Source organism: Homo sapiens, chromosome 2 (genome assembly GCF_000001405.40).
Source record: "Homo sapiens chromosome 2, GRCh38.p14 Primary Assembly".
NCBI classification, from domain to species: Eukaryota; Metazoa; Chordata; class Mammalia; order Primates; family Hominidae; genus Homo; species Homo sapiens.
The window spans coordinates 8,186,099-8,212,808 of NC_000002.12; the positions used below are offsets into that span (position 1 = coordinate 8,186,099).

Here is a 26,710-nt window from a genome sequence, read left to right on the forward strand (position 1 = left end):
TGTCAGAGGATTACAGGATAGTTTCCATAGTCCTTGCATGTCACAATGCCGGTAAGTCTGCATTCTTTTGATGCACATCCCAAAATTAAATTACACCTGGAAATAATCTCTTTTGTTACCTTTCTTGCCATCACTCTCTCTTTCACACTCATGCACACACATGCACACACACAGACACACAAAATCGTCTAGCAATGATTCCAAAGAATCTAACTTTTGAATTTAATAGAAGTAATACATTGGTTCCTTAGGTTACCATTTTATCCCTGTCACTAAAGAACAATTAATTTTTTTGCTTTATTGTTTTGTGTTAAATATTCCTCCAACTTCAATGCTGATTTCACCTTCCTTCAATTCAGCACTGATTTTCACATTTTAAGGCTGTCTTCTTCTATATATATATATTTTATATAGGCTTTCATTTTAGGTCAGTTCTTCCAAGATATGCTGAAATCTGAATGGTAGAAAGTTAAAAGTTTTCATTAGAGGAAATGATAATATTCTGACCTCTGACACCTCAATATTCTGACCTCTGACACCTCTTAGTGTTGCTCTAAGTTCAGGTCTAAGACTCAGTTTCTGACCTGGGGGAAAAATGGAGCTAATAATTTCCTTGAAGGGTTATTGAGAGATCAAATTTTAAAAAAGGACTTTTAAGAGACCAAATGAGATTTTTTTTTTTTTTTTTTTTATTCAGAGTCTCGCTTTGTCGCCAAGGCTGGAGTGCAGTGGCTCGATCTCGGTTCACTGCAACCTCTGCTTCCCGGGTTCAAGCGATTCTCCTGCCTCAGCCTCCCTAGTAGCTAGAACTACAGACACGTGCCACCACACCCAGCTAATTTTTGTATTTTTAGTAGAGACGGGGTTTCACCATGTTGGCCAGGATGGTCTCAGTCTCCTGACCTCATGATCCGCCCACCTCGGCCTCCCAAAGTGCTGGGAAGATGAGATTTTTTTTAATGTATAAAGATGGTTTTGTGAATGGTAAAATAATGTACAAATGCAAAGAATTGTTGTATTATTTTATACACATAAAAGTAGTATAAATAATATTTAAGAATAGGGGCTTGGGGATAATAGTTCCATAGTTCACGCCCTGGCTTTGACACGTACTCGCTGTCTGACCTTGGGCAAGTGACTTATTCTTGGTCTCAGTTTCCTCATCTATAAAATGGAGATAATAATATCCGTAATATAGGCCTACTATAATAATTAAATACATTAATTTACAAAGTGGTTACAAAGTATTTGATATATACTAAGGGATTAATAGATTGTGAGTTGTGGGCTTGAAAACTAAAAATATGGATTGTGGTGGATTATGAAGGACATTGAATAAAATGATAATGTATTTGTCAGTCCACAAGGAACCACTAGAAGATTTTGAAGAAGGGGAATGGCATTAACGAATAGATGGTATGAGAACAGTAAGCCAATGGGAATACTAAGTATAGTGGGAGAAACTTGGGAGGGAAAGGCATCTAGGAACATACAGCCTGGGTCTTGGTCACTGACGATTAACCACTTTGATGAGATAAGGGGAGGTAAGTGGAGAGGGAGAGAAAAGACAGTGTTAATAAACATGTGATAGGATGCAAAATTCTTTGCCTAACGTAAGGCCAATGATGGGATAATTCACTCTAAAACTTGAATAAGCCCATTGGCAATAATTGATTGCAGAATAATATGAGATTGTTCCTGATTTTGCTCAAAATCAAAGTTCCATGATATCAGGAGGACAGCTATATGATGTTTGTAAATGAATTTCTAAGTGAAAAAATATCTCATTTTCAATTCCAGCCTCACCACTAACCGGGTCATGTTAGGCAGATAACTTACCTGAACCTCTTTTCTTCAACTATGCAATGAGGATAATAACACTACCTCATAGTTTTGGTGTGAAAATGACGTGATGTGACATGTAAATGCTTGATGCAAGTTTCTTACACAAGGAAGGTATTCGATAAAGTATAATTTCAGTCTTTATCTCTCAGATCTATTAAATTATACTGCAATGGTATGAAATGGCAGGAGATGGGAAGCCTGGACCAGGGGCTTTCATATGCTAGAGGTTCCATCTTCTGACAACAGCCCAGAAGGTTCTGCAAAGCTTCTCTTGTTGGCTTAAGATCTCAGTCAAGCTGCAGCTCTCCTGATTGACAACCTTGCTAAATTACACTGAGTGACTATCCAAATTTGGCATATTAATTAAGGTTTATATTTGAATTTATTGCATTAGATATCTTGCAAGACCAACATTGATTCAATGATTGACACTTTTATTAAAATGATCTGTTACATTAGATAAGAAATTAGTTCTTTCTCTCATATACCTCCAAGTTAAAAAAAAGTTCCCACATTTGTTTGATTGTTTCAAAGTTTTGTACCATAATGAATTATTTCTCTTTTCATAGTTTTTCGATAATAATTATATTTTAATTAAATTGGTTTTTTTTAAATCTTCCAAACATAGTTCGAAGTTGTGGCTCCTACCTTTGCTCACATTTTGTTAATTTTCATTTTTAGAATTATATCCTTTAAGGCAGTGGTCCCCAGCATTTTTGGCATCAGGGACCAGTTTTGTGGAAGACAATTTTTCTACAGACCAGGAGGAGGGGGAATGGTTTTGGGATGATTCAAGTGCATTACATTTATTATTTACATTTAGAAATAAATGTGTATATATATACATTTATTAGAAATAAACTGCACTTTATTTTTATTATTATTACATTGTAATATATAATGAAATAATTATACAACTGGGCAGGGGGATCTCTATTTTTTTGTCCTCACACATTTGAAAGATCTTCCTTTAATGGTCCTAGGTTTATGAGAGAGGAAATTCCTATTACATGGCCTGTCTTGGGTGAGTCCAGGTCTTGTCTCCTATTCTTAGTACCCCATGCCATGAAAACTAAAGTTCAAATTCTCCAGGTTCAGCAGACACTCTCAGGGTAAAATCTAACTGCTTGACTTGGCTTACCTAGGTTTTCTCCCTGCTTATTTTTCTAGCCTAAAAAAAAAATTTTCTACCAGCTCATCTATATACTTAAGAAGCAGCAGTTTTTTTAGAAAAATATATTTTTAGTTAGGATATTTAGTCACTTTTAAAAAGAAGGTTGGTCTGAGTACCTCATTCACCATTTTATCAGAATTCTGAAATACAGTATTTCCATAATAATTATTTTTTAAATATTCTGCCATTTTAGGTTTTGTTTTATTTCTAGGTTGTAAGGGATTTGTTTTTCATTGGATTATTCTGCCAGTTATCATTCGACTGCAATACAGAAAACCACAGTTCAGTGTTGCCTTAAACTCATGTGAGGACTGGGCCGCCTTGCCCGGGACAAAGCCCCTCCCCATCACTTCCCTGGGCTGTGCTGGAGATGTGGGCGTGCAGCCACTTTTCCTCATGTCTTTCATTTTGTAGTCACAAGGTGGCTGCCCCCTCCAGGTGTCACATTTGCTTTCCAAGCAGGAAGAAACCAAAAGTGGAGAGAGCATTAAGGGCTAGCCCTGCATCAAGAACGCAAAAGCTTTCCAGAAGTTTCTTACTGGTCAGAATTGTGTCAGATGGCGGCCCAGCTGCAACTGTTGCCACCCAAATAAAACAGAGGTTCCACCAAAAAGGCCAGCAGAAAAAATGACTATGGAGAGGTCCTGAGTAGCATCTACCACAGCTGCTCACTTCCAGCTTCCACAGCACTGTCTTCAGCCAACACCCGAACTGTTTCTACATTCAGAATGTTTCTTCTTTGTGGCCTGACATTTGATCCATCAATACAAATGTATTTTATGTACCTTATAATTATTATTTGGTCTTCTATATTTTTGCTTTTTTTCATTTATTTGGTACAGCATAAGCTAACAAAGATACATTAAAGTTTACTTGTTTTGTTGAGTTTCCCATATGACTTTTTTCACATTCGGTGCCTTAATGTTCATGATTAATCTTCATTACAAATTGTAAACTTTTTTCATAATATAGTATTTATCTTTGCTTCACGTTTTTTGCTTATCGTTAAAACTTGCTAGATACTAATTTTACAATTCTATTGTATTTTTATTTGCATTTCCTGCGCACATCACCACCCTTTCTGTTGCAGTTATGTCTCGTCGTTTGCATCTATTTATTCCTCAGATCTCTCCATCTTCTCTCCTTGCCCAAGCTCAATGTTCTTTTAATTTCTTATTATAATATTTTGTAATATTTGCATCCTACTCTGTAATCATACTCTCCATGGTCATAAAACCTCATGTTTCATTTCAGTGAATTCAATGTTACCACTAGTCTTTTTCTTTTTTTCTTTCTTCCATCCTCCCTCCCTTTTCCTTTCTCTTCCCTCCTTCCCCTCTTCTCTCCTCCCTTCCCTCCTTCATTCTTTTCCTTCTTCTTTACCCTCTTCCTGTTACTCCTTCTCCTCCTTCACCTTAACATATCTCTTCATCTTCTGTTTGTCTACAGTTTGTTCTCTCATACTTTTGGCTTTTTTTTTTTTTCTGGCAGGGCTATTGAGAGTATATACTCTGGAGAGTATTCAGAGTATAAACGCCTCAAGAGACAGGTCTGTTTTTTGTATACTTGGATAGCAGGAAGGTTGCATATAAACATTTTTAGTTGTACTTCCATCCTCTAAGAATTTTGTAAATACTATTCCACTTTCTTCCACATTTGAGTGCTATAAAGGTCTGAGGCTAACCAGCCTTGTTCTCCTTAAGGAAAATTTGATTCTTCCCTGTGTGCCATAGAAATATTTCTGCTAGTTTTAGTAAAATATGTTAGAGTAGTTTTGTTCTGAATTTGTTTTATCTGGAGCATGTCGCCTTTCCATGTGTGGACTCTGATCTTTTAAGAAATTTTCAAAAATTTAAAATCAGCATTTAAGATTTTTACCTTGCATGATTTTTTCCTTCTCTTTTCCAGGTAGGATTGTGATTATATGAGATATCCCAGATCTGCCTTAACTACCAATGCTTTCTACTATAACCCTTTGCAATGCGCTTCTTTTTCTGCTGCATTTTGTCCAGTCTTTCCAACTTGCTCCTTATATCCCAGCATGTATTTTAGCCAGGTATGTTTTTTTAACTTCTTATAATAACTTTCTAATTTCTGTAATGATTATTTCTCATTTAATTTCTTTGTTTCTTTATCTCTACTTAAAGGCCCTATGTTTCTCCTTGAGTCCTTATCTCAGAAAGATCACATTTTCATTAATATGTTTGAATCCACAGAGAACTATGTGTTCATATATTTCTTAGTCTTTAAGGCACCATTTTTTCCTGAGATATCTATCTATACACACATACACATATATTGTGCATACATACACATATACACATATATATACCTATATACACACACGCATACCTATTATATATATATATATATATATATATCCTTTACTTTTCGTATTCTAATTCTCTATTCATGATAGGAGTAAGTTTGCATAGGTCTCATGCCTTTTAATGAATATTTATCTTTGAATGAATCATCTACTTGCAGGATCGTGTTGGAGAGGGGAAGCAGATTGAGCCTCAAGAGTTGGAACTCTAAACCTCAGTTCATCACCTCTGAGCTCTTTCTCAACAACTCACTCCACCAGAGACCTGGCCCTTCTGTGGCCCACATGTCTCAGGCTTTAGATCAACTTTATTTTCAGCTCTCAAGACCATTAGGTGCACTTCCCTTCCATCCATTTACACCAATCATCGTCTTTTTTCAGAGATGCTAACTCTATACAGCTCCTCATTCATTTCCGCTGTACCTTCCATTTCATAAAATCGAATGGAGGACAGAAATCTAAAAGCCAAGAGGCTCCCAAAGCTTGTCCATCAGTGTTTCCCACCTGCCCTGGAGAACTCCTTCCTCTACCCACTGTGCTCAGAGTTCACGGAGATGCAACAACCTCCCCCAGTGTTCTTCCTCGCCCTGAACGTTACTCAGTCATTGGTACTTCTACCCTCCAAGAGTTTTTAATGTGGTAGGGAAATGTTTTTTGGCAAAATAGCAAATGATAAAAAGGATACAGAAATCATATGATTAGAAATGGGCAGAAATTATCAAAATAGTAACAATGGTTATTATTTCTTGAATAGCAGAATTATAGATGATTGTCATTTTTTAAAATGTCCTGCAATAGCTACATAATAACTTGTATAACCAGAAAAATATGATGCATTAAAAAAGACGGGCCTCTTATGTCAGCAAGTTCTAGGGAGACACAGACATTATCATCAAATCCATGACTGGCTCTTCCTCCAGCTCTTGAGTGGACGTGCTCTGCTTCCACAGCCCTAATTGAATGAATGGGGTGCAAAGCTGAAATCCGATCACTTTAGAACTCTTCCAGAAAGCTAGGAAATGTTGCATATGAAATACCTGGAGCTTTCTGGGAAGTGGAAGGAGTTCATGCCATCATTATAAGAAACATTTCTGACCTTCTCATATACATTGTTCTATCCCTAGCAAATCTGCTTTTTACATATTTAAACCTCTAGAATGAATTTACCTCATTAAGCAGAAGCAGGGCAAATGAACAAGGGATGTAATTCCAGAGAACAGAACTCACAGCTGGCAGGGCTAGCACAGCCTCCTCTCAAGGTCCTGGGCCCATCTCTCCTTGCTTTGTATCACTTTGTCTTTATAAAGGAATCAAAAGAGCCCTAGTCCATCACTAATGCAGAAACACAAGCACAATGCTGAGGGTGGAATACTCACAGAGAAACGACCAGATAGAGGTTGGAAAACAAAAGCAGCCAATGTGACTAGCATCCCTTCAAAAGTAAGTCCTCGTACACTTTCTGTATCCTAAGAAAGCAGACACATAAGCTGAAAGAAATTGGGACAATTCGAGAACTAAACTAAATGTACAAATATTTAAACATGGTCTTAAACTTACCTAACATGTCACTGTCTTCATACAAAACACACACACACACACACACATATATATACTCACATAAAATCTATAGAAATACAGGATTTTGCTCAAAATAAGAAGGAGTTCTTTAACAAGTAGAAATTCTGTAAATGATATGGACTGGCTGATGCTAGGGAGAGTTAGGGAAGGTAACTGGAATGCCGCTTTAGTTCCCAGAGGTGAGTCTGCAGTATGTAATTCTTCCGAGTACAATCTGCCTTATCTATGTGATAATACATCTTTAAACATTAGACTCAGTAATTTTAACTGCAATAAACCCAACCCACCCATGTTTTGCCCTTCAACACAAACCACTAAATTCCAGAACATGGCCAAAGGCACAGATCATCTCTAAATTAGCTCTAAAAAATTTTTAGAAGGCTTAATTGTAAACAAAGAAGAGAGTGAACATTTTCAGATGACTGTAGATGGCTAAGATTTCAACTGTTGGATCACTTCCTGAATTTTCTGTGCAAAACATCAAGTTTTAAAATAAGAACTACTGTTTATGGATGCAAAAAATACCCCAACTTTCCAAATGCACCTCATGTCATTAGATTAATTTGCTATGCACCTCAGGCAATTATGTTAGTGGCAAAGCTATTCTTCCAGACCTCGTCCCCAAGCAGGCACTATAATTAGAGAAAGCCTACATCCCAACAGACAAAACCTCTGCAGACTGGAAGGCAGAGCCCATTACGTTTACCCCAAGCACCTCTGACTCTCTCTGTGTGCCGAGGACGAGGTAAATGTGCATTGTGAAAATTAACACAGCCAGAAAGGAAGCATCCCACAGCGCGAATCAATACTCAGCAAAGGATAATGGGATTCCTGCTCAGGCAGCTGTGTCCTGCCCCTCCCATTAGCACCTGTCAGTAAGAGCAGTCAGGGCCAGGCGATGGGCACCTGCCTCCCAGCTCAATCCTGACGACGATCATTAGCTCCAGCCGGCACAGAGGCACCCCACGCTGCCAAATAGTGTCCTTTTCTCCTTAAATGCGAACAAACAATGACTTCTCCTCTAATAGCTGGCACAGATCTTGTTAATCTTTCTTGTTTCACTTCTGTTTTGCCCTTAGCACAGTGTGTAGGAAGAGATCGACTTGAAGGCAGAAATTAGGTTATTCAAGTTAATTTCAGGACATGCTCTACTCAGAGGCTTAGAACCATCTAGGCTGGCCTGCCTCACCTAGAGGTAATCACAGGATGGAAATAATACTCTATCGATCATGTGACCTGGTAAATAATCAATATCTACCCTTTGGACTTTTGTTACTACCACTTGCGAAAAGAAAAGACTGAACGATTTCACATGGCTAAAAATCTCCCCCTGCCTTCTTTTTCCCTTCCTATTACTTACTCCTTCCTTCCTTCCTTCCTTCCTTCCTTCCTTCCTTCCTTCCTTCCTTCCTTCTTTCTTTCCTTCCTTCCTTCTTTCTTTCCTTCCTTCCTCCCACCATCCTCCTCCCTCCTCTCCCCTTCCTCCCTCCCTCCCTCCCTTCTTTCCTTCCTTCCTCTCTTTCTCCCTTTCTATCTTTTTTCCCCTCCATCCTCCTTCCAAAGTAGAAGTGAATAGTCATTGAAAGGAAAACTGGACATATAAAATATCGTTAACACTTACCCCTGGGAAGGGGTATTTTTAAGTGCTTCTCTTAACAGCTGAAGTTCTGAGTGTGTGTGTGTGTGTGTGTTTGTGTGTGTGTGTGCGCGCGCGCAAGTCTCTGGAGGACCCAAAAGTGGAGTAGGGGCCCAGGCCAGGCACCCTTCACTTGCCCTGTAGGTCAAGCTGTTTCCAAATGCTCTATGGTAAGGGGCCAGGAGTGCTAACATCTTCCAGAAATTCATAATGAGCTGTGACTTTTACCCTGGTATATAATATCCTATCCAAAAGAATTGCAAAGAGACTTCTAAACTAAATTGGAGGTCTTTTTTGCTTTTGTCTTTTTCTGTAGGCCTGATTTTCTTCTTAACATTACCTGTATATGGACTTATGATCCAGCCACAGCCTATTCTTAGGACAAGCCAGTTGGTTCAATTGGGAGGAAATCAGCAAAACTTCAGAAAGTATTGCATAATATTTATTTAATCCTTCTTCCCATCATGTATTCACTCCTCCAATCATTCACAAGTATCGATTGAGCACCTGCTTAGGGCCAGATGCTTGTGTCTCATAGTTAAGTTGGGGGAGTCGACTTAGGTAAAAGAAGGGAAGGGCATGAAAGGGAAGGTGTTTTCACTAAGTCTGGTAATTTCTAAAGAACTCTGGAGACCAGAGACTAAAAACCCTCAAATTCACTGACAAACAGTATGAATAAACTCCTGGTCCCATTCTTTTTGCAATGAAAGGTTTGCCACTGGAATATCTAAAAAAAAAAAAAAAAAAAATTCTTATAAAAAAGCAATACACATTTATTCTAGAAAGTATAGATAAGAAAATGAAAAAATATTTAAGTTGTCTATAATCATCATACCAAACTTTTGGTATTTCTCTTCTGTGTGTGTGCATTTTTCTCTTGTCCATATAGTTTGAAACATTTGATATTATATCAAACCACATTTTGACATACAAAACAGCAATTTCATATGGCTTAACCTCATATTGCTGATAAATTTATAGACATGGAAACATAGTGTACATATTTGTATCCTGATTTTTTCATTGAACCAAATAGCATGAATTCTTCTGACATTAAACATTTTTAAAGCTTAAAAGTAAACAAATTAAAGGAAACAATTTTCAATGGTTCGCCATTTTGCATTTTATGAATGTAAAATAAATGCTTAATTATAGCAAACTACTTAAAGAAAAATTTTCTGCTTTTTTGCATTTTCATATTGTTGTGAAAAACTTCCACATCTCAAGCTTCTTCCAGTCATGTCTTTGATGCTTTGAAGTCAAATATGAAAGATGTGTACTTCAAGGCAAGAGCAAACATGACCACTTAGCATTTTGTAAATTAAGCTCGATTTTTGAATAATGCTTGTAAATCAAAGACTGTTAGTATGTGCACTTGACCCTGATCTCCCACAGAATTAGTTTTTGCAATCAACAGCTTGTGCTGCCTAAATATTTACCTTCTGCCATCACTAAGCTATATGCTGCAATATATTTGTTGAAATATTCTTCCAGTTTTAATAATGTCCTTTCACTTAGGGACACCTATAACTGCAAGAGACTCGATACTGGTCCCCAGCACCTCCACTGAACATGTAAACTAAAAGACCCCTTCCAGCTGCCTGAATTGGGTGATGCCCTCATGATTAAGACTAGAAAAGGAGATGGGGGTCACACAAAGTCAAAAAATGAGAAAAACATTCATTTAAAAAGCACACTGGGGGATCATTCACTTGAAAATTGGAAAGAGCAAATACTTCCATTTTATTAAGGCAAAAGCTTCAGTGGGTTACCGTGGGGGAAATTCTGCAAACTGAATGCATCCCAGCTTTTCCCAGGAAATCTTACATGGAGATGAATCACCCACCGTCCATATGCTTTGCCATATTTCACCAAGCACATGACAGAATGCAACTTAGAAAACCCCCACGAATGTCATGCCAGTGCTCAGCCAGCCCTATCCATTTTGAAAATGGTGGAAGTGGGGATTCTGAAGGTGGATTTTATGTACTTGCAATGATGTGCTTTAAAATGCATAAAAATAAAATAAAATTCTTTCAAGAAATTTTAATTCCAAGAAACTACAGAGAATAAAGATTCTTCAAAAACGGTTTTGCCTTAGATAGCTCCCTAGTTTCACATTTGAATTGAAAAGTGTTTATTTGCTGAGCTAAATTCACCCTATACATTGCCATCCATGAAGGAATTTTAGCCAAATAGCCTGAAACGTCTGCAGCAGGTAATCTCGGTTTCCTTACACTCTGAAAGTTGCGCTCCTAATTTTCCATGTTCCATGGAACACACGTTTCCTTTAAAAACTTTTGAGTCTGCTTTGGGTGCTGGTTCTATGTCTCATCCAGAAGTGGGAGGCAGAAGTCAGCTGTTTGTAAATAGAAGGCAGCAACTGAGAAGGGATTATAATAATTTTCACTTTGATAGTATGTAACACTTGAAATTTCAGGGAGCTTTGCAAACTTGTAAGTATTATTTTCCTCATTTCTATTAGGAAGAAAACTGGGGCACAACTCACCCAAGACAATAAGTTAGTTAAAGTCAATAGTAGAAGTGGTAAGTGCAGGATCTCCTTTGCAAGCCATTGAATCATGCTCACTGTAAGTCACACCAAGTCGAGAGATGACATCATCAGGGCCGAACCCTGTCAGAACCGCACATATATAAAGCCCTTGCAACCACATGGAAATCACTGCTCATCCTGGGAAAAGTCTTTTGTTGTCCAAGAGATGACTGATCACATATTCACAGCTGGAGATTAAACAGATCCAAAGATGTAGTGGTGGCCACCTTTTGCCATCATTCCAAAAAGAGTAATGAACGGGGGTACCAGGAACCCAGCCTCCACATGTCCAGATGCTTCTCCTACTCACCCTCTCTGAGTGCTCAATACTATTTTTTTTAATGTCAAGTGCTATTTATTTTGACATTTTAAAAATGTCCCCAAAAGATAAATCAGTGTCTTTAAAGATGAATAATCCTGATAGTAAATTTACAGCTTTGAAAGTCAACACATATCCACATATCCCTCCCTTCACCATGCTGGCAGGTTTTGAAGCCTCTTGCAGGAACTAGAAGTAGCCCTTGTCCTCTTGACCAAGATTGACCAGACATTGAGGCAATGTTTTAATACATTAGCCAAAGCCTAAACTAGCACTCACATGGAAGCCTTTTTTATTTCTAGGACTAACAAAGATCATACAAATAAACACATATAGTCAGATGCACATTGTAGAAAATCAATACATGCAGAATCCATTTTCTGTTTTTCAACCAATGTATCAAATTAAATACAAAGCCAATTGTTCCATAAGATAATTTAATCCCTTGGGCCAAACTCTACCTGCCGTCTGTTTTGTTTAAAACTAAATAAAGTTTTATTGACACCCAGCCATACCCATCCATTCACAGATTGTTTGTGGGCTGCTTTTGTGCTACAACAATGTGGTTGAGTTGTTAACACAGAAAATTTGTGGCCCACAAAGGCTACAATTTACTTTCTAACCCTTTACAGAAACATTTTGACAACTGGCTTAATCTATAAGATGAGTTAGCCATAAAAGATCCTATAAAATAATACGGAGAAAATAGTCCCATCTTTAGAGCAGATTCGGGGGAGGCAGCCTGGTTAAAAATGCCCTCCCTGATCCTGGCTGTCATCCGTGTACCTCCTCACCTACATCTATGATCCCTGAATTGGCCATGAGGGAAGCACCCCTTATTCACAGCTTCCTCACTTAAGCACATATGGTCTTGGCAATGGGTGCAGAAGGAGAAACCCAAGGTCATCTGATCAGTCTCCTGTACTATGGAGGAATCGCATCCTCCATATCCATGCTCTGTAGTCACGGAAACTCGGCTGGAGTCCTGGAGCAACGCCTCCCACAGCACAGTGCGTCTTCTCTCATTCCTGCACAACGGAATTGTGAGTGATTCCTCAATGCTGGGCAGAAACTCACTTCCCTGTCACTTCATCAGTGCAGCAAAATATTGGAATGCAACCAACATGACTCCTTGGACGTGTCCCCAGCCCTGTCCCCTCTTCACCAGGCTACGAAGCTACATTCCCCTACCTGTGGCTTACAGGCCACCACCCTGACACTTGGCACTCCTGGCCACCTCTTCCAGCCACAATCCACGGGCCTTTTCTGCATTGCCACACCAGCTCTGTGTCTCCTGGTTTTTTCTGTTAGCATCTAAGCACTGCCACATCTTCCCCTGAAGTGAAATATTGAAGAAGGAAGAACCCCAGAAGCTGAGGCATGTAGCTTTGTTGCTGCTTTAACTTGCCACACTTCCTCATTGTCACATCTCACTTTGACCCCATCTTTCCTTGCTAAGGAAGGATGGTGTTTCATGGTTCAGTGCAAAGAGTACTAGACAAGAGTCCCAAAGATTCAAGGTCTAGTCTAGTCTCTGGCACTGTCTGAGTTTTATAAATTCAGGGAAATTGTCTAATCTATGTGGGCTACTGCTTCCTCATCTATAAAATTTCCTCAAGACTAATTCAGCAGCACTCCCATTCTGCTCAGAGCTAGATAATAAGCTGTGCTGACACATGAGGCATTCACAGTGGCACAGTTGCTCAGAGTGACAGTCATCCCTTGGTAGAAAATGTTTTAATATAAAAACTTAATAGATGTAATGGCAATTTTCTTTGGGAATAAATTGGTCTCTGAATCATACTCTAAAAACAAACAAAAAAAATTCCTAATGCAGAAAGGACTGTGGTCATTCCTCTTTCTCAAACCCAAATAACACTCTGAGAATCCAGCACATTATTTGATCCTTTTCTCTTAAAAAAAAAGTGCATACATTTTCTGCAGACTGAGAGGGCATGGGGGATAAGACGCAGGTGGATTTCAGATAATCAAAGTCACCCTGCATCTCCTATTAAGCAGCTTGAACTTTATCCTGAAGGCTATGGGACCCCCATTAAAGCTGTTAACACAGGACAGTGACATTATCATATTTCCACTTTAAGAATTTAGAAGATAGTCACGATTATAGAGAATGACTTGGGAGTGCAGGAGTGGTGTGCAGGGTGGAGGCTGGGGTGGAACAGAGGGTGGGCAAGTGGTAAGGCAGAGGGAATGAGGCCTGAGAGAAGGGTAGTAGTTGTTGAGGTCATTACTGTTCAGGGTGAGGTCCAGGAACAAGAAGCAGCCCTTAGGAGCTTGCCAGATTGCAGAATCTCAAGCCCCACACAGATCTTCGAAGTCAGGATCCACATTTGAACATGACGCCCAAGGGATTTGCACTTCCTTGAGGAAAAAAGTGCTGGACTAGGTTTTGGTTATCGGGCCTTAGAGATGCTGTATTAGTTTGTTCTCACACTGCTATAAAGAACTACCTGAGACTGGGTAATTTATAAAGAAAAGAGGTTTAATTGACTCACAGTTCTGCATGGCTGGGGAGGCCTCAGGAAACTTACAATCACGGCTGAAGCTAAAGGGGAAGCAAGGCACATCTTCACAAGGCAGCAGGAGAGAGAGAGAGTGAAGGGGAAAGTGCCACACTTTTAAACCATCAGATCTCAGGAGAGCTCATTCACTATCACAAGAACAGCAAGGGGGAAATCCGACCCCCGTGATCCAATCACCTCCCACCCGGTCTCTCCCCTGACACATGGGGATTACAGGTCAACATGAGATCTGGGTGGACACACAGAGCTAAACCATATCAGATGCTAAGGGCAGAACCAAAACTATGGCAGTGCAAATGGAAAAGCAACAATGAATTTTTTAAGAGTTGTGTATGAGGAAGAATTGACCAAACTTGATGACATTGAAGGTAAGAAATAAAATAGAAGAAAAATTGGGGACATATGCAAGATTCTAGCTTAGAATACTGGAAAGTGGCACTGCCATTTGTCTGAAATGAAGAACATAAGGACAGGGGCTGGGCATGGTGGCTCATGCCTGTAATCCCAGCACTTTGGGAGGCTGAGACAGGAGGATCACTTGAACCTGGGAGGTAGAGGTTGCAGTGAGTGGATGTTGTACCACTGCACTCCAGCCTGGGCCACAGAGCAAGACTCCATCTCAAACAAAAAAGGAATATAAAGAGAGGAACAAACTTAAAGATATTATCAAGTTCCTTTTGTGTGTTAAGGTGAAATGCCTATAACACTTTACTGGAGTTATGTCCAATGAGCATTTGAAAATATAGGTTTATAGTTCAGCCAATGGCTTTAGTAAAAATAAAGATTTGGAATTCAAGATATACTTGAAGCTGGAAAAAAAATGATGATGTCGCCCAGGAAGAACATATAAGTAAGTAGAGAAGATAAGATGAGAGAAGAAAATGAAGAAGAGAAGAGAAAGATATGAGTACAAATCCTAAAATAACTGCCAGTTCAGGGAAAAAGAGATGAAGTTGAGTCTGTCAATGATTCCCAGCAGAGAATTATACTTGACCTCAGAACCATTCATTGACCTCGGATACCCATTTGTCCTTTTACTAGCTACCAAACTCCCTTGTCTTAGCTCAGCACATAGCTGCTCACTCAACACTGTTAGGTGCTTCAGAAGCCAAGGAGGATGAGGAGTGACAGCCTCCTAGTTTGGAAATTAGAGAAACAGTGGTTACTTTAATGAGAGCAGGTACAGGGAGGTGGCAGAGTAGTAGCCAATGTGAATGGAAAGTGGGAAAGAGAAGATGATACATGTCCATTGTGCAGGCTTTTGCAAGAAAGGAAATGAGAGAAGAGGGTTGTCCTCCAAGGAGGAGTCTTGTTAAAAGGATTTTGTTTTGTTTTATTGTTTTAAGGATGGTGTACATTTAAGTGTGCTGACAGGCTGAGATCAAGAATCCAGGGAAAAGCCAGAGGTGGGAATCTGAAGATACAGAACAGATGTAGGGGGCAAAGCAAGAACTCAGAGAATGGGAGGTCAGGGGGTCGAGAGACATGCCTGTGTCTTGGACAAGAGGTGAACCCACAGTGGCTATGTGGACTTCAATCACCAAGGCTCGTTATGAACTATAAAGCAGGTTAATGTAGCTGAAAGGCAGCCCCCAGTGCAGCCGAGGTACTTGTGCCATTGGCCAAAGGGCCAACGACAAACTAACGTTTCAAGTGGCAGTTGAGTGCTCAGGTCCACTGAATAACATTCCAGAGAATCCCTTGCCTTCCCTCGATGTTCTGCCTCCTGGAACCTCAATCTCAAGCCATTCAGGAATGCCTGAGAAACCTCGAAGCTGGCTTTAAAAAAGCTATGTATCTATTTGCAAAAATCACCTTTGCCATTTAACTAGACTTTAGCTCTAACTTATAAACCAGCCCAATGTTTTCATACCTGTATTTGTACAAGATGTAGAGAAAACGTCACATTTCATAAAGAGTGAAAAGCATGGAAATCAGGAGAGCAATTAAACTGCCAGATCAGGAAGCACTTTCTGGTGTTGACACTGACTCTGTTTACAATAGCACTCGTTCAGTAAACCCTCAATGATTCCTACAGAAAACAAAATCAAGAAATTACTTTGTCAGAATGTGCAAATTTAACCTCCAGGGATTTGGGGAGGGGGTGGTGGGAGCAGTTCGGTAATTACAAGTCGCATGGAGGTACTTCATTCTTGGCAGTGATGGGGAAGCGCAAATTGAAAAGTATGTAGTGACAGTTGGTGGCAGAAATCCTAGAGAAAACTAAGCCTGCCAGGTACCAATCCGTGCATGACAAGATCATCGCAAATGCTTGGATGACTCATATTTTCCCCTTACAGTTGCATGCTGGTTCTACGATATGTGATTTTTGAGATTTGATGATTATACCTGGTGTCACACATGGTCTCAGGAGACACCACAATCTTTTTTCTGCTTCCTTCTCTCGGGTCAAAAACCCAGCAGGGTGAAAAATATTCAAAATGTTGTGGAGGTTAGACATCATTTTGGGGTTTTTGAGAGCTAAAGTTAGTTAAACTCTTCTGATTTTGAAATTAACAAGGAGAAATAAAGCAAACAAACAAACAATCATGGCACGGGCTAAGCATCGCATTAGCAACAAACATTGACTATGCACCCTTATTCTAAGTAAGGGGAAGGGCTGAGTGATTCCACCCATCATTTCTTCCTTCTTGCATCCCATAAATAGTTAGAAGACACTATGCTGCCTTGCTAGGGCTGCTACAACAACGTCCCACAGACCGGGTGCTTAACAACAGAAATGCACCATCTCATGGTCTGGAGGCCAAAAGTCCAAGATCAAGGTGTGGGCAGGGTTGGTTCCCTCTCAGGCTGTGAAGGAGACTCTGTCCTGGGCCTCTCCCCCAGCCCCGGTGCTTCGCTGGCCGCCATCAGTGTTCCTGGGCTTATAGAAGCATCATCCGGATCTCAGCCTTCATGTTTACATGGCCCCCTCCTGTGTGTATGCCTGTATTCAAATTTCCCCTTTTTAGAAGGACACTAGTCATCCTGGATTGGGGCCACTCTAATGCCCTTACCTTAACTTGGTGTAAATATCTTATATCCAAATAAGGTCATATTCTAAGGTGCCAGGGTTTAGGACTCTAACATATCTGTTTTTCTTTTTCTTGTTATTTCATTTTTTTTTTTTTTTTGGTGGGATGTGCGGAGGGGCCACATTCCAACTGACAGCAGGCACTTACTTTGAACTTGGCCCTATCCTAGGTGACAGGTGGGCAGTGGTCAACAAAGGAGAGACAGCGCTTGTCCTCATAGAGTTCAGAATCGGGAGGAAGGACCAGTCAGTCTATTAACAGGCACTTAGCAAATAGTGACTTCATGACAGTTACAGGGAATGCTAGGAGGGAAAACCCGCGGGTGCTAGGAAAATGTGCAATGGAGGGATGCACGCAGTCGTGGGGCCAGGATCTGCTCCCCAGGAAACGGCGCTGAGAGGAGGACAGTGTCGCCAGGCTAGGAGGGTGAGGGCGTCAGCGGAGAGAACGGCCTGCGTGGGGGCTGGTGGGCGGAGCGGGTGGATCTTGGCAAACGGCAGGAATGGAAACGGCTGGAGCATATGTCTCAGTGACATCGCCACGGAAATGAGAAAGAGAACCTGCCATTCTCACTGACTGCTCTCTTATCTCCCCACAGGGTACTGTTCTGTGGGCTCCTCTCACGCACTCCCTTCCTCCCCTCTTTTTATAACATTTGGAAGCTTTTCATTTTGTGTTTCCTTATTTTTCAGGAATACATTCATGAACTACCCAAGGCCAATGCCCTGTTTGTATAAGGCATGTTCCCCATACCTGGTTTCTGGCTACCACCTTATAAGAAGCAAGCTGTGACAGCTCACAGCCCCCAGCCCCCTTTGCTGAATTGGGTACTTCTTCACTACGTTCTAGCAACTTCTATGGCATCCTCATTAAAAGCCCAGATTCTGGATTCAGGCTGCCTGGGTGGGAACTCTGTCGCAGTGAATTGCTCCGAGTCTCCCCTTCCTCAGCTGTAGAACAGGCATGGGGAGAGTTCAGCACTCCGAATACCCTGCTCCCCAATTTGTTATGAAGATCAAATGAATGAGTCCAGGTAACGGACTTGGAACATTTCCTGGCATAGAATAAGCAGACAATAAGCATTAGACATGACAACACTCAATGTAGGTCCTGCCACCTTTAAATGCTCTTTCACATGATTTTAAGTTTCTTAGGGACCTTTTTACCCAGTGCCTAACGAATCACGTGGATATAGTACATGCACAGTCAATACTCATTGAGTGAACGAATACAAGAATGAAGCATGTATTGAAGCAGTGCCTGAAAACGACAGATTCTAATTCCTGCTTCAAATTAGAAATGGCTTAAGAGAAAAGATTAAGGTCCTTTCTAACTTTAAGAATCTTTTCTTTAAAGAATTACTACATTCATATTCTATGAATTTATGGATTCATAGCTTGTTTATTATTTGTGAGCTACTTTGTGAATTATTAATTGTGAGCTGATTTGTGAATTATTTGTGAGCTAATTTGTGAATTGTTATTTGTGAGCTGACTCACAAATAATCTGACAAATGAAGAGACCACAGTTACAAAAAAAAAAAAAACCACTTCGTGCTTGTTTTATTTAAAGTGTTTTGAGGCAATAACTATAGGTTCATATTTTAAAATATATAAATCACCATAAAATGTCAGGGGACATCCTGAAAGCTCCCTATTAAGAGGGTCTCTGTGTCAGTAAGGTAGGCTGTAAGTCCATTCAATCAAATGAAGTATGAGTGTGTTCAACACAACATGTCAGTTGTTGTGGATACTAAAGGTCTTCAGGCAGTACTCGTGATGCATCATCATGCAGTAAGTGTCAGCTTTTACACTTAATTCTCACATAATCATGGGAGGGAAATGTTATCATCACATTATATGGAAGTAGAAAAATGCAGAAGCTGTTTCAAAGCCAAGTTTCTCTTCAGGGACTTTCAAATAGCCTTTCTGGTTTTATCCTAGAAATATGCTTCTTAAACTCCATTTCGAGTTTGGTTCACAAAGGCATACAACAAGTTTATTGTGTGTGTGTTTATTGATACATCATAATTGTACATATTTACAGGGTACATATGGTACTTTGATACACACACACAATGTGCAATGATCGAATCAGGGTAATTAACATATCCATCACCTTGAACATTTATCATTTATGTGTGTTAGAAACATTTCAAATCTTTTATTCTACCTATTAGGAAATATACAATATATTGTGGCTAGGCATAGTGACTCATGCCTGTAATCCCAGCACTTTGGGAGGCCAAGGCAGGTGGAACAGTTGAGGTCGGGAGTTTGAGACCAGCCTGGCCAATATGGTGAGAAACCCTGTCTCTACTAAAAAGACAAAATTAGCCAGGCTTCGTGGCATGCCTATAATCCTAGTTACTCAGGAGGCTGAGGCAGGATAAACTCTTGATCCTGGGAGGCAGAGATTGCAGTGAGCCAAAATCGTGCCACTGCACTCCAACCTGGGCAACAGAGCGAGACTCCATCTCAAATAATAATAATCATTATATATATATATATATATATATATATATATAAACACACACACACACAATATTGTTAACTCTATTCACCTGACTGTGCTATTGAACACTAGAACTTATTCTTTCTGACTAACTCTATGTTCATACCCACTAACAAACCTGTCTTCATCCCCCCTACACTTCTCAGCCTCTATCATTTTACTCTCTGCTTCCATGAAATCAACTTTTTTAGCTCCCACCTATGAATGAGAACATGCAATATCCCTGTGCCTGACTTATTTCACTTAATATGATAACCTTCAGTTCCATCCATGTCGCTGCAAATGGGATAAGATTTAGTACTATTCTTAGAGCTGAATAGTATTTTAATATGTATATTTACCATATTTTCTTTATCCATTTATTCACTGATGCTATACAATAAAACTCAAACTTGTTTTGTCCTCAAAGCCAGGGTAGACATTGAGGAAAGGAGAAAATGTAATTAAACATGGCACTTGGTGTCCTCTAGTGGCTCAAGAATGTTGGCTCCAGGAGTGGGAAAACCCAGTGGCTGGAGAGTAGAGGAGAGCCACTCACGCTGCAGGGCATGGTGTTTGAGCAAGGACAGCTCCTCCTCACACGGGGTCATCCTGGCTGCCTCTCACATAGGAGATGGTGAGAATGGGTATGCCAGCCACCTTTCCAGATATTGCTGAACTATATCAGCATGTGCTGCCATCAAAGAATCAGCAAAGGTAACTGACTAAACCCAAAGGGAGAAAGGTTGATGACTTTGATTTATTCAGGCAGAAACATTGAAAAATGATCAACTTGTACACTCCAATAAAGGTAAAGAGAGACAAATAACTGAGGCTTGGGACAGTGTTTTCAAATGTTTTTCAGCTGAACCTGAGTATCATTATTGTAAAAATCACAGAATCATCTGTGAATGATGAAGTTCAGAGATGTCCTCATCACACATCAGATAATAGACATCAGAGTCAAAAAAAAAAAAAAAAAGTTCAAATAATCTAATGTGCCAGAATTCCATCCTACAGTTCAGGTCTCATCTTGGTCATCACTATCAGTTGGTAAATGTACATTAGATTTAAAAACATCATTAAAATTCAAGTGGAATAACCCAAGTTTTTCCAGTGGCAGCAGATATGACAGTTGCATTTAAACACCTTTCACTTGCAAATAGACCTACTTAATATATCAGGCAACATCTCTAAAAAAGAGATGAGGGATGAAGAAATGTTGAGATACAACAAAAGTCATTTTACTACATCTGTGCAGATCTGGAAAAGAGACTTGTCAGTAAGATAACTGTACGTAGATCAAATAGTGTACAGGCATCATTGTAATTGTTCAGAAGAAATTTTTTATAAAGTGTTTTTTATAGAGTGTTTATAGCCGAGTCTCCCCTTCCTCAGCTGTAGACCAGGCATGGGGAGAGTTCAGCACTCCGAATACCCTGCTCCCCAATTTGTTATGAAGATCAAATGAATGAGTCCAGGTAATGGACTTGGAACATTTCCTGGCATAGAATAAGCAGACAATAAGCATTAGACATGACAACATTTAGAAATTTTATTTCTAAATTTGCCAATCTAGATTTTATGAAATTCATTTTAAAAAGAGTGAAAATATGAATTAAATACATTTCCCTTTCTTCTTGAGTTTCCTAATGCATGATTGATAGTTAAAGCAAAAATTGTAAGGCTATCTCATATACTTGTTATAAATATATGTAGGAAAAGACATTTAAGACAATTATATTATTAATAGGGAGGGATAATGGGTAAGATTTCTACACTTCACTTGAACTGTTAAAATGTCAACATCAGTAGCCTGTGTTATAAATATAAAATGTGATATTTGAGCAATAACTAAAAAGTTCATACAAAGAGATATAATCAAAAACTCTATAAATTAATCAAAAGGAGATCTAAAAAATGTTAAAGGGAAGAGAAAAAACAAGACAAGAAAGACAAGAGCAAAAAAGAAACAGAAAATAAGGAGAAGACAAAAAATAAAATAACAGACATCAGATTAAACTATGAATAATTACATTAAATGTAAATGGTTTAAAAACACTAATTAAAGGCAGGGATTGGCAGATTGGATTAAATAAATGACCCATGGATAAAGGGGCCACCAAGCTAGCCTGGATATTTGAGAACTGGGACAGCAGCTGCTAAAGCTACATCAGTGGGTAAGCTATAATGATAGAGGTAAATTGGAAATTAAGGAATAGCAATAATATGCCATGCAGACATTAATTTTAAAAGTAAGCAGATGTGGCTATATTAATATCAAATAAAGTAAATCTTGGGCCAGGCATGATACCTCACACCTGTAATCCCAGCGACTCAGGAGGATGAGGCAGAAGAATCACTTGAACCTGGGAGGCAGAGGTTGCAGCGAACTGAGATCACACCCCTGCACTCCAGCCTGGGCAACAGAGCGAGACTCTGTCAAAAAAAGAAAAAAGAAAAGACAAAGAAAAAGTAGATTTTAGAGCTAATAAAACTACCAAGAACACAGAGGGGCATTATACAATGACCAAATGGTTAATTCACCAAAAGATATACAAATAAAAAATGTGCGGGCATCAAACAATAAGTTGTGAAATATGTGAAGCAAGAACTGATTGAACTGAAAGGAGAAAAATAGATAGCTGAAAACTTTAACACCTCTTTCTTGACAGTTGCTAGAACTAGACAGAACATCATTATGGATATATAAGAACTGTAACACCATTAATCAAATGTATCTAATAGACATTTATACAATACTCTGGCCCAAAACAACAGAAAACACATACTTTCTAGGAATTCTCATATAATAACAACACAGATCATATTCTGGACCATAAACCCAACCACAATAGAACCAAAACAGAAATCAATAACAGAAATATAACAGAAATATATTCAAGAACTTGGAAACTAAACAGCAGACTTCCAAATAACCCATGTGTGAAAGAGGAAGTCTCAAAGAAAGTTAAAACAGAAACAAATAAAAACATTGAACTGAATAAAATGGAAATGCAGTGAAATTTGTGGAACATAGCTGAAGCAGTGCTGAAGAAAAATTTATAGTACTCAGTGCTTACATTACAAAGCAGGAAAAGCCTCAACCCAATAATATATGCTTTCACCTCAGGAATCTAAACAGGAAAGAGAAAAATAAACTCAAAACAAGGAAAGGGAAGGAAATACTAAAGATTGGAGCAGAAAACCATGATATTGAAAGCAGAAAACATAGAGAAAATTAATGAAGCAAAGAAACAGTTATTTGAAAAGACCAATAAAATTTAGCAAGCCTCTAGCAATACAGAAGACATAAATAATTGATGTCAGTAATGAAACTGGGCATATCACTACAAACCCTGCAGAAACATAGATAAAATGAACCAATTCCTGAAAAAGCACAGACAACTATAATTCACTCAATATCAAATACATACTTTGAATAGCACTAGAACTATTAAGAAAATTAAATATGTAATTTTAAAACTTCAAAAGTAGAAATATCTAAGCCCAGATAGTTTCACCAGAAAATTCTTCCAGGTGGTTAAAGAATAACTAAAGCCAATTCTATACAATCTCTTCCAGAAAATAAAATGGAGAGAATACTTTTCAATTCATTTTATGGAGCTATTACTACTATCCTGATAACAAAGCCATACAAAGATAGTAGGAAAAAAGGAAACTACAAATCAATATTCCTCTTGAATGTAGGTGTAAAAAACCATTAACAAAATATTAGGAAATAGAAATCATCAATATATAAAGAAAATTATATACCATAACAAATTATGATACCATCACCAATTATTCCAGATATACACGACCAGAATGCATGAATGTTCAACATTCAAAAATTAGTCAATGTAATCTGCCATATTAACAATCTAGAGAAATTCCAGGATTGTATCAATTGATGCAGAAGAATCATTTAACAAAATTCAACATCTATTTATGATAAAATCTCTCAGCAAAATAAGAATAGAGGAAAACTTCCTCAATTTGACAAAGAAAATCTATTTTTAAAAACGCAAAAGGTAGCATTATACTTAATGTTGACAGACAATGCTTTTGTTCCCTAAGACTGGGAACAAGGCCAGTGTGTCCACTCTCACGGCCTTATTCAACATAATATTGGCAACCAATAGACTAAAGCAAGGAAATAAAGGCATACAGATTAAAGAGGAAGAAATAAAACTATCCATATTTGCAGATAGTATAATTATCTATGTAAAAAATCCAGAAGAATCTCAAATAAAGTTCTAGAATTAATCAGCTCAGAAGGGTTCCAAGCTGCAAGATAAATAATCAAAATCAAATATATTTCTGTATACTATCAATGAACATGTGGACACTGAAATTAAAAATATTATTAACAACTGCTCAAAACATAAGATATTATTAGTGGCAAATATAGCAAAATATATTAAAGACTTGTAGGCTGAAAACTACCAAAAAAAACTGATTAAATAAATCAAGGAAGATGTAAATATATGGAAAGACATACCATGTTCATGGATGGGAAGATTCAACACAGTAAAGATGTCAGTTCTCCCCAGATTGATATAAAGGTTAAATGCAATTGCTATCAAAATTGTAGCAAGATTTTGTGGTAGATATAGACAAGATTATTAAAACATTTATATGAAAATGCAAAGGAACTATAATGGCAAAAATAATTTTGAGAAAATATGAAGTGAAAATAATTAGTTGATACAACTTCAAGACATTTTATACCCACAGTAATCATGACTGTGTGGTATTCGTTGAGGGGAAGACATATAAGTCTAGGGAACACAATAGTAAATAGAGAAACAGATACACACAAATATGCCCAACTGATTTTTGACAAAGGTACAGGAGCAATTCAATGAAGGAAGGGTAGCTTTTTTAAACAAATGGTGCTAGAGTAATTGGCCATCTATAGGCAAGAATTCCAAAGTATCTCCAAAAATCTTCTATAACTAATATGCAAGTCTCAAGATAAAATATAAGCATGCAAAAATCAAGTATATTCCCACAACATCTTCAACCTAAACTTCACAGCTTATACAAAATTTAAATCCAAATAGATCACAGGTTTAAATGGAAAAACAGAGCTATATAATGTATAGAAAACAATAAGAGAAAATTTTAGGATCTCAGGCTAAGCAAAGATTTCTTAGACTAGACACAAAAAGCATGATCTATAAAAGAAAAAAATGGTAAACATGGATGTCATCGAAAGTACAAACTTTTGCTCTGTAAAAGGCCTTGTTAAAAGGATAAAAAGACAAGCTACTGACTGGGAAAAAATCCAATTAGAAAATGTACAAAAGCCATGAACAAATATTTCACTGCAATCAATATACAGATGGCAAGTAAGTACATGAAAAGATGTTTAACATCATTATCCATCAGGGGAATGCAAAATAAAATCATAATGAAATATCACTACATACCCATTAGAATGGTTAAAAAAAAATAGTGACAGCACCAAATACTGGAGAGAATGTGGGGAAACTGGATCACTCATGTGTTGCTGGTAATAATGTAAAGTTGTACAGCCACACTGGAAAACAGTTTAGCAGTTTTTTATAAAACTAAACTTTCACCTACCATGCACCCAGCAATTGTAGTATAGGGCATTAATCCCAGAGAAATTAAAATGTGTGTATTGTATCAAGGGTACATGAGATCTTTCTGTATTATTTCTTACAACTGCATGGGAATATACAATTTTCTGAAAATAAAAAGTTCAATAAAAATAGCATAAATTTTTAAAACACAAAAGATTTACAGACTTCATAGTTGTCTGTTTGCTGTCTTCCCAGACCCCACTGCCAGAATGCAAGTGGCAAGAGAGCTGAGATGAGATGTGGTAGATGTTGACCACTTCTGTGTCTCCTACTCCAAAGAAGTGCATGGTGGACAGTGGACACTGAAATCTTTGTTGAACATGTCAGGGCAGGGACAGGCGCTGCAGAGTGACTTTCATAGAGCAAGGTATCCCGGACTGAAGCTTAGCAAATAATTCCACAGTGCAGGGCCCTGCCCATGCTTTCAAACATGTCTTAAACCCACGCTCCACCACTGACAGGTGCCCTGCCTGGCTCTGTTCTGGAATTCTTCAAGAAACCTGGAGATAATGTAGATCTAGTGCTTGTCATTTCAATTCTGCCTTATGAAGCATGTCATTCAGTTTGCTTTGTGAAAATATCATTAAAGCTGTATCCTATAATGAAAATAATGGCAGCTGACATTTATTAAGCATTTACAATGTGCTGGACATGTTTCTAAGCATTTTAATCTATTTTCCCATTTAAGCCATACAACTTGGTAATTCTGTCATCTTCATTTTTAAGACACTGAGGAGGAGAGATATTAAGTAATTAACTGAGAGTTACAAGCCATTAAGTGTTTGAAGAGATATCCAAACTCTGGAGTTTCATTCTTGAACCCTGTAAACCATTCCACTGTGTGGCCTCACATAGCACAAGACTGAGTCCTGCATAAGGACAGGAGGTATTGACTTCCATAAATTTCGCTATCACATAGTGCATGAGGTATTTCAATTATGGTTGTTTTGTTTTGTTTTGTTTTGTTTTGTTTGAGATAGGGTCTTGCTCTGCTGCCCAGGCTGAAGTGTAGTGGCATGATCATGGCTCATTGTAACCTCCACCTCCTGGAATCAGGCAATCCTCCCATTTCAGCCTCCTGAGTAGCTGGGACTACAGGTGTGTGTCACCATGCCCAGCTTATTTTTCTATTTTTTGTAGAAATGAGTTTTCACCATGTTACCCAGGCTGATCTCAAATTCCTGGGGTGAAGCAATCCACCTACCTGGGCCTCCCAAAGTACTGAGATTATAGGCGTGACCCACCACACCCGGCTGATATTTCAATTATGAGTCATTTATATGCTGAGTGTTGTAAACCTATATTTCCTTCCTTCCTCTCCCTCTTTCTCTATTTCCCCAACCTTCTTTTGATAGGAGATACTATTTAAAAGACAGTTATTAACTCGGGGCATGTAGAAATATAAAAAAAACAATTTTGTAAACCACCAGAAGAAACTAGAAAAAGAATATCTATCAAAGGCCAGGAAAGTAAATAACAGTTATAAACCCTTCCCCACTCTTTTTATAAATAAAATGCTTTAAAATTGCAATATCAATTAGGGTTTTCTTATTCCACAGAATTTTACATTTTGTGATGTTTGGGACAAATGG

General features: G+C 38.5%; 1 long non-coding RNA gene across 2 annotated transcripts in view, besides 2 other annotated features; it reads right to left on the reverse strand.

Moving 5' to 3' along the window:
* LINC00299 (long intergenic non-protein coding RNA 299) overlaps positions 1-26,710 on the reverse strand; it is a 320,649-nt gene that overhangs the window by 178,328 nt on the left and 115,611 nt on the right. The window contains exon 10 of one of the 2 annotated variants that reach the window (NR_152741.1): positions 21,045-21,942. The exons of the other annotated variant lie outside the window; for it this stretch is intronic. This is a non-coding gene — a long non-coding RNA (long intergenic non-protein coding RNA 299). Of the gene's footprint in view, positions 1-21,044; positions 21,943-26,710 lie in introns of those variants that run through there. 2 annotated transcript variants of the gene reach the window in all.
* Positions 3,114-3,614: an enhancer, noted in NCBI's record as "H3K4me1 hESC enhancer chr2:8329342-8329842 (GRCh37/hg19 assembly coordinates)". NCBI's record gives its function as "activates a minimal SCP1, AML or CMV promoter by ChIP-STARR-seq in naive H9 embryonic stem cells {active_cell/tissue: H9 hESC(naive)}" and the evidence as "EXISTENCE:reporter gene assay evidence [ECO:0000049][PMID:30033119]".
* Positions 7,473-8,048: an enhancer, noted in NCBI's record as "OCT4-NANOG hESC enhancer chr2:8333701-8334276 (GRCh37/hg19 assembly coordinates)". NCBI's record gives its function as "activates a minimal SCP1, AML or CMV promoter by ChIP-STARR-seq in naive H9 embryonic stem cells {active_cell/tissue: H9 hESC(naive)}" and the evidence as "EXISTENCE:reporter gene assay evidence [ECO:0000049][PMID:30033119]".